General features: G+C 43.3%; 1 protein-coding gene across 15 annotated transcripts in view; it reads right to left on the reverse strand.

The window, feature by feature from the left end:
* Nucleotides 1–15696, reverse strand: part of CCDC158 (coiled-coil domain containing 158) — a 108831-nt gene extending 93135 nt beyond the window's left edge. For 5 of the 15 annotated variants that reach the window (XR_938729.3, XR_938730.3, XM_011531915.3 and 2 more), the window contains exons 1-2: nucleotides 14792–14968; nucleotides 5917–5959 (exon numbers count right to left, since the gene is read on the reverse strand). The gene's annotated coding sequence lies outside the window, so the exon portion shown is untranslated. Of the gene's footprint in view, nucleotides 1–1048; nucleotides 1144–5916; nucleotides 5960–8087; nucleotides 8192–14001; nucleotides 14969–15428; nucleotides 15452–15567 lie in introns of those variants that run through there. The other 10 variants (XM_011531917.2, XM_011531909.3, XM_011531908.3 and 7 more) reach the window with 9 other exon arrangements.

Genomic DNA, 15696 nt, shown 5'->3' on the forward strand with positions numbered 1-15696 from the left:
AACAAGAAAGCACGGGTTAAAATCCTAATACCAGACTAAGTTGTCTTCAAGCCAGAGAGCATTAACTAAAACAAATTGCAGTGCACTTGAAGTTAAAAGCCACATTGCACAATAAAGATATGTACCATATAACACAGCAATCACTTGGATAAAGCATAAATCCACAGAAGATACGGTAAGAACTGCAAACGCAGTAATAATGGGAGGCTTTAACGGACAATTAGTATGAGACAGGCCAAGTGGACAAAAAATAAGTAGAGATATAAAAGATTTAGAAGAACTAATCACTAAGGTAGACCTTTTGGCTATATATTAAACACTATACTTTGATAACAGACAATATACTTTCCTCTCCAAGGGCACATGAAACATTCACAAAAATCAGTCATATTCTAGGGCACAAATCAGTAGGTTCCATAAAGTAGGTTTCCATAAAGTAGAAATGTTACAAACAACACCTTCTGGTCACAGTATAATAAAGCTAAAAATTAAAATCAAAATCTCCAAATTAAAAAGGTCTTTCTACCTGGAAATTAAAAGGCCTTCTATTAAACAACTCTTGTGTGATAAGGGAAACACAAGCTGAAATTAAATAATTTCTGAAAAATAATAATGAAAATAGTACATATCAATCTGTGACATACATTAAAATAGTAAAAAGATGAAAATTCCCAGCCCTGGACACCTACATCAATAAAAATGAAATAATAAAAGTAAATTCATTAAGTGTCTAACACAAAAACATAGAAAAATGGGTGAACTAAAAGAAAGCACAAGTAGGAAATAATAAATGCAAAAGCAGAAATTAAGATAGAAAAAAGAAAAACAATGAGTCAAATTCATGAATCAAAATCTTCATTCTCTAAAAAACAAAACAAAATAGATGTGGGTGAGGACCACTAAAGTGATGGGAAGAGGAAGATCATGTAACACGCTGCTTATCATTTTTACATTAATTCATGATTGTAAGCATAAAGTCTCTAAAAATTTAAAAAAACCCTGAGCTTAACAGTTTTTATTAAACGGAATTCATTTTTATTTCACTCACATTTTCTTCCTTTTGATTACTGAGATGCCACCTGTCAAAACTACAATTAACGATAGAACATATCTACCTTAATATGCTTCGTGCTATCGTTTTTTAGGAAGTAAGTAGTAGGTAGGGAGATATTCCATAAAGAATTATAACAAATAGAATGTTAGTCAAGATTGCTAGGCAATTTAAATGTTCTAAATAGAAGAGACTGCTACTTGAGGAAAAAAAAACCTTGCCTATTGAAAGAAAAGGATTTTCAAATTGGCTTATAAAAAACGACTCTATGCTGTGTACAAGAAGGATGCCTTCTCATTTAAACGAGTTTCATTGTGAATGTTTGTTGTATAACTTTACTGATACACTAACATGATACATTTTGGGATTCTTCAGGATAATGAATGACACTAAGAAAGTTCAAATTGCTGAGTAATGTTATCATGAATTAGAGATCAATCAGAAGCATAAAGGAATGAGTAGGACAGATATAGAACCACAACCAAATACTGGCAAATCATATAGTAATTCACTATCAAAGACTTTAGTATTAAGCAGGAAACAGAATCTAAGATCAAGGTAAGCAGAATTGAAAATAGGAGTTAGAGAGTAGAGAAAAGAAGAAAGAGGAAGGTTTGGCTTTAGAATATTCTGATGTGGAAACCACACTTGTCTACTTCGACGTAAGATGATGAATGCTTGCGTTATTCATCATAACTCACTATGAATGCTTGTGTTATTCATAACAGGCTGTTGGAAAGCAGCAGTCCTTCAAAGGGGAATTTTTTTCTTAGAAAATTAGTAGTTTACAGAAGACAGCATAGGTTTATTCACTTAAACAAGAGTTGTTTTTTTAAATTTTTAATTAAAAAATTTTATTATTATTATTTTTTACTGCTCCTTGTGCAGCAGGGCTACCCCATAAGCAGTGTGCCCAGAGTAGTCAGGAGTTTCACTTCTTTATATACATATATGTATATATATATATATTTTTTTATTATACTTTAAGTTCTAGGGTACATGTGCACAACGTGCAGGTTTGTTACATATGTACACATGTGCTATGTTGGTGAGCTGCACCCATTAACTTGTCATTTACATTAGGTATATCTCCTAATGCTATCCCTCCCCGCTCCCCCCACCCCACAACAGGCCCTGGTGTGTGATGTTCCCCTTCCTGTGTTCATGTGTTCTCATTGTTCAATTCCCACCTATGAGTGAGAACATGCGGTGTTTGGTTTTTTGTCCTTGTGATAGTTTGCTGAGAATGATGGTTTCCAGCTTCATCCACGTCCCTACAAAGGGCATGAACTCATCATTTTTTATGGCTGCACAGTATTCCATGGCGTATATGTGCCACATTTTCTTAATCCAGTCTATCATTGTTGGACATTTGGGTTGGTTCCAAGTCTTTGCTATTGTGAATAGTGCCGCAATAAAAACACGTGTTCATGTGTCTTTATAGCCGCATGATTTATAATCCTTTGCATATATACCCAGTAATGGGATGGCTGGGTCAAATGGTATTTCTAGATCTAGATCTCTGAGGAATTGCCACATTGTCTTCCACAATGGCTGAACTAGTTTACAGTCCCACCAACAGTGTAAAAGTGTTCCTATTTCTCCACATCCTCTCCAGCACCTGTTGTTTCCTGACTTTTTAATGATCGCCATTCTAACTGGTGTGAGATGGTATCTCATTGTGGTTTTGATTTGCATTTCTGACGGCCAGTGATGATGAGCATTTTTTCACGTGTCTTTTGGCTGCATAAATGTCTTCTTTTGAGAAGTGTCTGTTCATATCCTTTGCCCACTTTTTGATGGGGTTTCAACAAGAATTTTAAAACAACTGTTTATTTGTAAAGAGGATGCTTAGTATCTCTGTTGCCAATGCTGGTAGTTATTTTGTGTGTGTATTTTAGAGTAATGAAAATCTGCATTTAAATAATATTTGTAATTCATTTTCACTATTTTAGACTGACCATATATCCTGAATTTGGTCAAGTCATCAGTGTTTCTCTACTTTTGTGACACTATAGGAATTGAAATATTTTTCCTATTTTCAGGCATAAAGCTTATGAAATGATTAAAGATTTCTAGAAAAAGCAAGGTTTTTTGCTTCAATAAATCATAAAATTGTTAAAAAAAAAACTCTGCACTTGGTTGAATTGGGGATCATAACATGAACTTACATGTGTTTATTTTAAATCTCTGAGTAAAATACAGAGGTGAGATCTTGGCCTCTTCTGACATGCCGAAGGTCTATTATGAACAGTTCTGCCTGATTTAAAATTATGAACAGGTTCACATTAAAAGGAGCCTTACATTTTTAAAAAGTAGTATCTAGGCCGGGAGCAGTGGCTTACACCTGTAATCCCAGCACTGTGGGAGGCTGAGGCAGGCGGATCATGCGGTCAGGAGATAGAGACCATCCTGGCTAACATGGTGAAACCTCGTCTCTACTAAAAATACAAAAAATTAGCCAGGTGTGGTGGCGGGCGCCTGTATTCCCAGCTATTCGGGAGGCTGAGGCAGGAGAATGGCGTGAACCCGGGAGGTGGAGCTTGCAGTGAGCGGAGATCACGCCACTGCACTCCAGCCTGGGTGACAGAGCGAGACTGTCTCAAAAAATAAATAAATAAAAATAAAAATAAAAAGTAATATCTGTGTATCTATTCTACTCTAGTTATTTGATTGGAATGTTGCCAAAAAAAAAAAGGTCTAAGAAACCACAGACCACAAAGAGGGAACTTTTGGAGGAAAATTCCCTAAAGCCTTAGGCTTTGTTATATAGCTGAGATAAAGCGTTTAAAAGTACCTCCTGGGTTCTGACTCCTGCTCCTTGGAGTCGAAAGGCCCTGGTGGATGTGCACTTATACTTTTCCTAGTATGAATAATCCTCACCTTGATTTCTTTTTGTATGGCTACTACTTAAGGTGGACCTCTCCTGTGACTATCATAGAATGAATAACTGATTTAGAATCCCTTTTTTTTGTTTTGAGACAGAGTCTTGCTCTGTCGTCCAGGCTGGAGTGCAGTGGCACAATCTTGGCTCACTGCAACCTCCACCTCCCATGTTCAAGCAATCCTCCCACCTCAGCCTCCTGAGTAGCTGGGATTACAGGCATGTGGCACCTTGCCCAACTAATTTTTGTATTTTTAGTAGAGATGGGGTTTCACCATGTTGGCCAGGCTGGTCTTGAACTCCTGGCCTCAAGTGATCCACCCACCTCAGCCTCCCAAAGTGCTGGGATTACAGGCGTGAACCACCAGGCCTGGCCCAAGTTCTATTTTGATTGCGTACAGATGACTTATGATGTATGTTCTATTTAGATTCCTGGATTCTTCAACTGACTCAAGCTCCTAGGTTGATGAACCACCCTACCTTCCACAGAAACCTGAGACTGGGGATCTTACAGAACTGATCTACATTCTTCTAGAACCAGTCTGCAGGTATGTTTTCCTTGGGAAATTCTGAGGTACCTCGGGACTGATTCAAAGAAACATACTGGGCTGGTACAATCTCAGAAACACAATAAGGAGAACCATTCATGTTGAACAGTATTGTACTACCTGAATTGCTGTTAGCTGCTTATTAACTTCACATGCTCTCAGTGTCTGTTTTCTCAATCACACTCTTTCAAGTCTCTGGATGTTGTAATCCTAGCTCTGTGATCTACTAGCTGTGCCACCTTGAGAACAATATTTAACCTCTCTATGACTATACGAGGGAGATAAAAAGTATACAGCTTAAAAGGTAAAAGAGTGTATACCTCAAAAGAATAAGAGTTAACTGAGATAACTCACGTGCAGGCCTTCCTACATAGTAACTGCGGCCTTCCTACATAGTAACTGCCTCAACACATACAAGGTACCAGATAATTGGACAGCAATAACATGAATAACAATACTATCTGGCAGGGCACAGTGGCTCACGCCTGTAATCTCAACACTTTGGGAAGCAAAGGTGGGCGGATCACTTGAGCCCAGGATTTAGAGACCAGCCTGGTCAACAGAGTGAGACTCTGTCTTTACAAAAAATGAAAAAATTAGCCGGGCATGGTGGTACTTGCCTGTAGTCCCAGCTACGTGGAAGGGTGAGGTGGGAGGATCCCTTGAGCCCAAGAGTTCAAGGCTGTAATCAGCCATGATCACCACTGCACTCCAGCCTGGGTGACAGAGCAAGACTCCATCTCAAAAAAACAAAAACCAAAAAAAGCACCCCAAAATCCCAATACTATCTTTATAACTTAAGCAGTGTATGTAAACTAACTCATTTTCCCATAATAAAGAGCAATATTGAGTTTCATATAGGCCCACTAACAAAAGAAAGTGGGTTTAATCTGCATTGACTAAACACAGGGACTATTATAATGTAATACGGAATTAAGCTACTTACGATCGCATTTCACCCATACATAATACCATCTAGCAGGGAGGCAATATGGAAGATGCACAGAACTTAGAATCAGGAAACTTAATTCTGTCATTGGTTAACTGTGAGAGCATGGGCAGACCTTTTCATATCTCTGAGTCTCAATTTCCATCCTTACTAAATGAAATTACAGTTGTGTTTTTCAAACCCTTCTTAAGCAGTGGAAATGTTTCTTTAAATCTAAGCGCCACACACCCTCCTCTCTGCCCCAGAGACACCTCTATGGAACACAGAGGGCCCCACTGAACATAGTCTGAAAACCACAAAGATAAAGCTCTTGCAGCTTTTATATTGTAGGCCTACGATATATTTATATTCTGGCCTAGGCATCCATCAAATTCAAGGCTTCAGGTTTTCTAAAATAAATCAGATATAGATACAGATAAAATAGTATTATCAGTTGTATATGTTCACAATTCTTAAATATAACTACAAGTAAAATAAAAGTTACCTTAACTTCTGGATATTCTTATTTTCACTTATTCTATTAATATCTGAAAAAACAAAATATTTAAAATCTGTTCATTTATATATATTTCATTAACTGAAATTTATTATTTCAAAAGTTCAATTTACAAATTCATGTTCATCACTTAAGACCTTGACAATATGTAAAACACACATATAACAATGGCAACAAGAAGTGTTATTTTTTCCTTTTATGTGAAAGTACATTTTAAGAGCCTAGAGCAGGCCAGGCATGGTGGCTAATACCTGTAATCCCAACACTTTGGGAGGCTGAGGAAGGAAGACTGCTTGAGGCCAGGAGTTTGAGATCAGCCTAGGCCACATAGTAAGACCTTGCCTCTACAAAAAATTTTTTTAAAAATAGCCTATAGTGGCCGGGCATGGTGGCTCATGACTGTTATCCCAGTATTTTGGGAAGCTGAGGTGGGCGCATCACTTGAGGCCAGGAATTCAAGACCAACATGGGGAAACCCCGTCTCTACTAAAAATACAAAAATTAGCTGGCCATGGTGGCATGTGCCTGTAATCCCAGCTACTTGGGAGGCTGAGGCAGGAGAATTGCTTGACATGGGAGGCAGATATTGCAGTGAGCCGAGATTGTGCCACTACACTCCAGCCTGGGTGACAGAACGAGACTCCATCTCAAAGAAAAGAAAAAAATAGCCTATAGCACTTATCTAAATCATGTTTTTACAACAAAATGTGTTTAATTATATGCTATTGGCCCAATTTTAATTTTAGTGGCACAGATCTCATTGGCACTATCAAGATAATGTAGCAAGTAAACCTACAGGCACATATGACCTAATATCAATATTCTCAGACCTGGCCTTTCTCCAGGTACAGTCCAAACTGACTTAAATAGACCAGCTAAATATCTTCTGACCATTTTAACTGCTCTTCACTGTTTGGAAATGCTCTTGACCAGGCAACATCACTTGTGCTTGGTTAGAGAAGTAATTGGGTAGAGAAACTTCTGTCTGGTGAGTCAAAACAGGTCTATCTATATATTGTAAGCAGGTATACCGAAATGATAAACCACCAAGATTTTTGGAATATCTCGGTGGAATGTAAGCAGTTTTTCCACATTTAAAAAAATGAATGAGCCTGTAATCCCAGCACTTTGGGAGGCCAAGGAGGGATAATTGCTTGAGCTCAGGAGTTTGAGACCAGCCTGGACAATATAGTGAGATCCCGTCTCTACAAAAAATTTTAAAAATTAGCTGGGTATGGTGGTCCATACCTGTAGTCCCAGCTCCTCAGGAGGCCGAGGTGGGAGTATAACCTCAGCCCAGGAGGTTGAGGCTGCAGTGAGCCGTGATCACACCACTGCACTCCAGCTTGGGCAACAGAGTGAGACCTTGTCTCAAAAAAAAAAAAAAAAAGGAAAAGAAAAAAATGAATATATTCTATGTGCAGAATTCAGACTAATGAATGGAAGTAAAGAGAGACAGAGTTTAGTTCAAGGTGGAGATGGATTTTCTAAAGACTAGAGCACCCTGAATATATATGTGGAGGGCTTCCTTGAGAGGTGTTGAAGATAAGAATGGGTGAGCACTTGTTGAAATGGCAACTGCCACTGGTATTCTTTCTTGGGTAGAGTGTTGGACTAGAAAAATCTCTAAAATCTTCTCCAGTTTGGACATTCTATGATTTCCCATGGAAAACATCCAACAAAAACCTGACCTAAAATATGATGACTTCTCACAGATGATATCAGTCAACAGCAAAGCCAGATAGGAACAATTCTAAACTGCTTCCAGCAAGTTTCATGCTATTTTGTTAAAAATGTTTGGCTCTAGATAAATTAGAATAAAGTTTTTACTTTTCTTTTTTCTTTCTTTCTTTTTTTTGAGACAGGGTCTCACTTTGTCACCCAGGTGGCTGTGCAGTGGTGGCTCAAGTGATCCTTCCACCTCAGTCCCCCAAGTAGCTGGGACTACAGCTGCACACCACCATGCCTGGCTAATTTTTGTATTTTTAGTAGAGACGGGGTTTTGCCATGTTGCGCAGGCTGGTCTTGAACTCCTGAACTCCAGGGATCTGTCTGTCCCAGCCTCCCAAAGTGCTAGGACAGGGATAAGCCACCATTCCCAGCTAAGTTTTTTTCCTTTAACATTTCTGCATATATGTTTACAGTCGTATTAAATTCACCTTATCCCAAATCTGCTCTTTTCATCTCCTCACTAAACCTTCTTTCTTGGGTGTTTCAAGTATCTTCATCAATTCAAATTCCATATCCAATTAATCACCATATTCTGTTAAGTTTAAAATCAAGACCAATCAAGTTTCCACCCTCATGAATTTATATTCCAATGGGGAAAGAAAGGCATTAAGGGGAAAAAAATCACAAATATAATTTTGGAGAGTTGTCAAGTACAATAAAGAAAATAACAAAGAACAGTGGTATAAAGAGAGATGGAGTTGAGACTCCTGATATGGTTTGGCTGTGTCCCCACCCAAATCTCAACTTGAACAGTATCTCCCAGAATTCCCACGTGTGTGGGAGGGACCCAGGATGAGGTAATTGAATCATGGAGGCCGGTCTTTCCCGTGCTATTCTTGTGATAGTGAATAAGTTTTATGAGATCCGATGGGGTTGTAAGGGTTTTCCGCTTTTGCTTCTTCATTTTCTCTTGCTGCTGCCAAGTAAGAAGTGCCTTTTGCCTCCTTCATGATTCTGAAACCTCCCCAGCCGTGTGGAACTGTAAGTCCAATTAAACCTCTTTTTCTTCTTCTCAGTATGTCTTTAACAGCAGCGTGAAAACAGACTAATACAGTAAATTGGTACCAGTAGTGTGGGGCATTGCTGAAAAGATACCAGAAAATGTGGACGCGACTTTGCAACTGGGTAACAGGCAGAGGTTGGAACAGTTTGGAGGGCTCAGATGAAGACAGGAAAATGTGAACTTCCTAGAGAATTGTTGAATGGCTTTGCCCAAGGTGCCAATAACAATATGGACAATAAGGTCCAGGCTGAGGTGGTCAGATGGAGATGAGGAACTTGTTGGGAACTAGAGTAAAGTTCTTGCTATGTAAGAACTTTAAGCATAGTAAACTCTTGCTATGCTTTAGCAAAGAGTCTGGTAGCATTTTGCCCCTTCTCTAAAGATCTGTGGAACTTTGATCTTGAGAGAGATGATTTAGGGTATCTGGCAGGATAAATTTCTAAGCAGCAAACCATTAGAGAGGTGACCCGGGTACTGTTAAAGCCATTCAGTTTTATAAGGGAAGCAGAGCATAAAAGTTTGGAAAATTTGCAGCCTGACTATGTGATAGAAAAGGAAAATCCATTTTCTGGGGAGAAATTCAAGCCGGCTGCAGAAATTTGCATAAGTAGCAAGGAGTCTGTGGGCGGCAAGCCATCCAGGTGCCGAGGCAAGAGACCGAGGGCATGAGCTGTTCCAGTATAATAAAATATACAAAATAATAAGAATAGTTATACTAGATATAGATCTTAGATATGATTATATATGAATATCATTAATCATTAGCTTGTAGCAATTATTCTTTATTCCAATATTATAATAATCCTCACTCTACAATCATAACCTAGGAAAAACCAGGCCATACAGAGATAGGAGCTGAGGGGACATAGTGAGAAGTGACCAGAAGATGAGTGCAAGCCTTCTGTTATGCCCGGACAGGGCCACCAAAGGGCTCCTTGGTCTAACGGTAATGCCAGTGTCTGGGAAGACGCCCATTTTCAAGTGGACTGTGGTCTAGTGGTAGCGTCAGTGTCAAGGAAAAATACCCGCTACTTAGCAGACCGGGAAAGGGAGTCTCAATTTCCCCGGGGGAGTTTAGAGAAGACTCTACTCCTCCACCTCTTGTGGAGGGCCTGACAGGCCCGCCTGCAGTTATCCAGAGGCCTAACCGTCTCCCTGTGATGCTGTCCTTCAGTGGTCATGCTCCTAGTCCGCCTTCATCTTCCATCCTGTTCACCTGGCTCTGCCTTTTAGATAGCAGTAGCAAATTAGTGAAAGTACTAGAAGTCTCTGATAAGCAGAAATAATGGTGTAAGCTGTCTCTCTCTCTCTCCTCTCTCTCTCTGCCTCAGCTGCCAGGCAGGGAACGGCCCCCTGTCCAGTGGACATGGGACCCATGTGACCTTACCTATCATTGGAGATGGCTCACACTCCTTACCCTGCCCCTTTTCTTGTATCCAATAAATATCAGCACAGCCTGGCATTTGGGGCCACTACCGGTCTCCGCGTCTTGGTTGTAGTGGTCCCCCAGGCCCAGCTGTCTTTTATCTCTTTGTCTTGTCTCTTTATTTCTACACTCTCTCATCTCCGCACACGGGGAGAAAACCCACTGACCCTGTGGGGCTGGACTCTACAGAGTCTAATGTTAATCCCCAAGACCATGGGAAAATGTCTCCAGGCCATGTCAGAGACCTTCATGGCAGCCCACCCCAACACAGGCCCAGAGGCCCAGGAGAAAAAAGTGGTTTTGTGGGCTGAGCCCAGGGTCCCTGTGCTGTGTGCAGCCTAGGGACTTCGTGCCCTGTGTCCCAGCTGCTCCAGTCATGGCTGAAAGGGGCCAATGTGCAGCTCAGGCTGTGGCTTCAGAGACTGGAAACTCCAAGCCTTGGCAGCTTCCATGTGGTGTTAAGCCTGAAGGTGCACAGGCCTCAAGAATTGAGGTTTGGGAACCTCTGCCTAGATGTCAGATGTATGGAAACGCCTGGATGCCCAGGCAAAAGTTTGCTGTAGGGATGGGACCGTTATGGAGAACCTCTGCTAGCTCAGTGCTGAAGGGAAATGTGGGGTTGGAACCCCCACACAGAGTCCCTACTGGGCACTGCCTAATGGAGTTGTTAAGAAGAGGGCCACCATCCTCCAGACCCCAGAATGGTAGATCCACCAACACCTTGCACTGTGCACCTGAAAAGCTGCAGACACTCAACACCAGCCCATGAAAGCATCTGGGAGAGAGGCTGTACCCTGCAAAGCCACAGGGGTTGGAGCTGCCCAAGACCATGGGAACCCATCTCTCGCATCAGCGTGACCTTGATGTGAGACATGGAGTCAAAGGAGATCATTTTGTAGCTTTAAAATTTGACTGCCCTGCTGGATTTTGGATTTGCATGGGCCCTGTAACTCCTTTGTTTTGGCCAATTTCTCCTATTTAGAATGGCTATATGTACCCAATACCTGTACCCTCATTGTATCTAGGAAGTAACTAGCTTGTTTTTGATTTTACAGGCTCATAGCCAGAAGGGACTTGGCTCGTCTCAGATGAGACTTTGGACTGAAGACTTTTGCATTAATGCTGAAATGAGTTAAGACTTTGGGGGACTACTGGTAAGGCATGATTGGTTTTGAAATGTAAGGACATGAGATTTGGAGGGGCCACAGGTGGAATGATATGGTTTGCCTGTGTCCCCACCCAAATCTCAACTTGAACTGTATATCCCAGAATTCCCATGTGTCATGGGAGCGACCCAGGGGGAGGTAATTTTCTCTTGCTGCCGCCATGTAAGAAGTGCCTTTTGCCTCCCACCATGATTCTGAGGCCTTCCCAGCCATGTGGAACTGTAAGTCCAATTAAACCTCTTTTTCTTCCCACTCTCGGGTATGTCTTAGCAGCATGAAAACAGACTAACACAGCTCCTCTAGTTAGGGTAGGTGAGGGAAGGCCTTCCTAAGGAGGTGGCATTGAACTGAATGACAGAAAGGGGTCAGCCTCACAGTGGCCAGGGATAACTTCTTAAAAGAAATGCCATCACAAAGGCCCAAAAATGAGAAGAGCTCAGTGTTCACTGACTCCCAGTGAAGAAGGCTAATGAGGCTGCAGGGTAGCTAAGTGGGGATGAGAGGGCTTCTAATGGAGGCCAACTATGTGTCATGCCAAAAGGAACACTGTGCTTATCACTTCCTTTCCTACACTATCCTGAGAAGATGTCAGTGAGGTTGGCGGAGGTAAAGCTCATGGGGCCTTGAAAAGGCCACATACTGAAGACTTTGGGGCTTATTCTAAACGCAACGCAAAGCACTGGAGGATTTTAATCAAGGGCATATGATCCTCCAGCGGCTGAGTAGAGAATACACTAGGAGAAGCTGGGGCTAGCTATAAAGCCATTGGAGCAGTCCAACAAAGGGACTAAAACCCAACTCTGAAGTAGGCCAGTCATTAAAAGCAGATGGTGCTGGGGTTGGGAATGGGGATTGACTACAGAAGGGTACAAGGCATCATTTTTGGATGATGAAAATGTTCTAAAACTGAATTGTGTGCTGATTGTACAATTCAGTAAGTTTATTAAAAATCACTGGACTGTCCACTTAAAACAGGTGAATTTTATGGTATGTAAATTATACCTTATAAAGCAGTTTGAAAAGAAAGCAGATGTGGGGAGTGTATTAGTCTGTTTTCATGCTGCTGATAAAGACATTCCCAAGACTGGGTAATTTATAAAGAAAAAAGAGGTTTAATGGACTCACAGTTTCACATGGCTGGGGAGGCCTCACGATCATGGAGGAAGAGCAAGGGAAGTCTTATGTGGCGGCAGGCAAGAGAGAGCTTGTGCAGGGGGAGCTCCCCTTTATAAAACCATCAGATCTTGTGAGGCTTATTCACTATCACGAGAACAGCACAGGAAAGACCTGCCCCCATGATTCAATTACCTTCCACTGGGTCCCTCCCGCAACACACGGGAATTGTGGGAGCTACAATCCAAGATGAGATTTGGGTGGGGATACAGCCAAACCATATCAAGGAAAGTGGGAAGTGTAAATTAGCTGCCTGGGTCCCAGAAGTGAATCATTAAACTTGAACACTGAATTTTCCTGTATCCTGAAAACTCCAAAGTATCTTAATTCCAGATGACTAGCGGTTGCTTTTAGCCATATTTTAATACATGGAAGCACTTCTGCATTCCCTCTTTTCCCCAGGCCTGGACCTCAATCCCCAGGTGTCTGCAACTCTTACTTGATATACACACAATGGATAATCAATAATGATTCAGCTAAGGTAAGGACAAAGCCTTTGCCACTTTTTACCTTTATTCTTTTTAGCCAGAGCAAATAGTGATATATTAATAGGAATACTCTTAAAAAATTGCTTTAAATGCCAGACTACCTCCTTCATATGCACCACTTAAATTTCTTTTCTTACCAAATTCCCTATTCAAATCCTTTCTTTAGGATTTACAGGATTCAGATAAATATACAGTGATCTCCACTACTGTACCCCACTATTGCCCCAGCTGAAGACCTGTAAACTATTCATCAGTACAGCATGTATGTGATTTATGAGCACGCTCATATGTATTAGTTCCCTACAGTTTCCATAACAAATTATCAAAACTCGGTAGCTTAAAACAATAGCAACTTATTCTTTCATAATTCTGGAGGCCAGGAATCCAAAATCAGTCTCATGGGGAAGAAAGCATGGTGTTGGCAGGGCTCCCTCCCTCCCTCTGGAGGCTCTGCAAGAGAATCAGTTCCTTGCCTCTTCTAGCTCTGCTGGTTGCCAGGCATTTGGTGACTTGTGGCCACATCACTCCAATATCTGCCTCTGTGGTCACATTGCCTTCTCTTCGGCCTATATCAAATCTGCTTCTCTCTCTCTCTTAGGACCTTTGCGTTTGCATTTAGGACCCACCTAGATAATTCACGATAATCTCTCCATTTCAAGCTACTTAATCACGTATGCAAAGGCACTTTTCCCTTATAAGGTAACATTTACAGGTTTCAGGGATTAGGACCTGACATATTTGAGTGGCCACTGCTCAGCCTACCATATAATTTGGGGCCATCTAGCTGGGGGACGGGTGGATCACAAGAGGCCCTGTTTAATAAATGGTGGAGGTCTAAAGTGGCTCACTCATAACATACTAGATAAAACTAAGTCCTCATTGTAAATGCACAACAACAGTAAGGGCTTTGCATACATACAAATAAATTGCTGTCCTCAATTTGTTTTGGGAGTATAATATTAACTCTATGGCATGGAAACCATTTCACCCACAACACAAGTAAGATAACCGCACTAAGATTAAAAGCAATGAGCGCAGTACAGAGATAGGAGGACCACATCTCTCTCAGCACTCCTGCACCCTTACCTGATGAGCTTCCGCACAGAGAAACAGTCCTACCTAGCATGTCTCTGGGATATGTGGAAGCCCTGGTCCTTTCCCCACACGCCCCCGCCATACCCGGCCACAACGCCTTAATCTCCTGCTGAGAGAAGCAGCAAGAACTGGTTGCCAGTCAAAAAACCTGGGCAACAGCCGACCTCACTTCTACTTTCCCCTGACGTTGGAGTTCAGCATGAGGCACAAACAAAACCTGGAGCAGCCTGAGTGGGGCCTGGAGCAGAGTGCTGTGGAAAAGGATGGAGACTTTCCAGAACTCATTGTGTTGCTGATTGATGCTGATAATGAGGGAAAGCTCTGACCCCCACATGTGGTTTAAAGACAGGGCTCAAGCTGAAAGGGCCCTTGCGCCGGCATTTAACACCATTCCGTCTTGGATGCGAGGCTGTCCTCTCTACCACCAAGTCTTCCCCATCTCCTCCCCCTGTTCGCGGCAGCGCGGTAGACACAGAGTCAGCAGTCACGTTGGGGCAGGTTACTCGGTGATTCTCTTCCCCACAAATCAAATCAGTTTGCGCAGGCCCCTGTGTTCTTCAAGGTCCAGGTTTCAGCGCCACCGTCCCCAGGGGTCTTGCAATCCCCTAAAACAACAGCAGCTCATTCCAGTAAAGAAACAATTTATTGGGCATCTTCCATGTGCAGAACAAACACGAGGCACCGGAAGATTCCAGAAATGAACACGAGTCGCTCCGGGTCCTCAGAAGAACCCCACTCCCACCCCACCATCCTCGTCTCCCGGGCCGCGCCCCGCTTGTACCTGCAACCAACACCTAATCCTAAGACACCGGCCACATCTCCGCGGGGCGCCGGCGGGCGCAGCGGCCCCACCTACGTCGACCTGGCGGCTGGGACGGGGCGGCTCCCCACTCTTCGCCCCTAGGCCCCGCGGAGGCTGCGGGGCGGCTCCTCCTCCTCGGCTGCGGCGCCGGAAGCTGCCCGCGCCCGTCACTCCTCGCGGCTGTGGCGCTCGGGGCGCTGCCCAGTCCGCGCGAGCCGCGTGGGTGACGGTTAGGACGCTCTGCGAGGCTTCGTAGTTGGGGGAGGGGAGGAGGGGGGTGCTCGGCAGCTGCCCGGCGGGGACCCCTCCCGCGCCTGCGACTCCGCCCGCCGGACGCCGTCGCTGGGGCATCCGAGCGTCGAAGTCCCCACCACCGCCCGGGCGCCCTAAGGAGTGGGGGTGTACCCAGCCCGGAGTCAAATCCTGGAGCCCTGCCCCAGAAACTACCCTGGGTTCGGACCTGCACCCGGCGCCCTCTGCCGCTTCTCCCACAGCCTCCTAACTGGTCTCCGGCCCTACTCTTGCCCCCACCCGAGCGCCTCGGGCCACTCTCGTAGCTGTCCCCACCGTGGTCTTCCCAGATAACTCACTGACCCGCACCAGTCTGAGCTCTTACCTGCCAAAGAGTCAAGCCCAATCTGGAGTTGCCCGCCGGGCCTCCTACTCTGACACCCCCACCCGGCCCCACCTCACCCCCCCCTCCCATTCCCACTCCTGGCATTCCCATTTGACCATTTCAAGTTAACAGAATTCACATTTTGCAGCTCTGTTTTCTCTGTCCCCGAATGTTCAAGTTCAAACGTGTTCTCGGCATAGCTGACCCTTCTGCCTCTGGAGACTTGTTCCCTCCGCTGTGCTACAGTTACCCTCTGTCATTATCTCTA

Source organism: Homo sapiens, chromosome 4, assembly GCF_000001405.40.
Source record: "Homo sapiens chromosome 4, GRCh38.p14 Primary Assembly".
In the NCBI taxonomy this organism is placed as follows: Eukaryota; Metazoa; Chordata; class Mammalia; order Primates; family Hominidae; genus Homo; species Homo sapiens.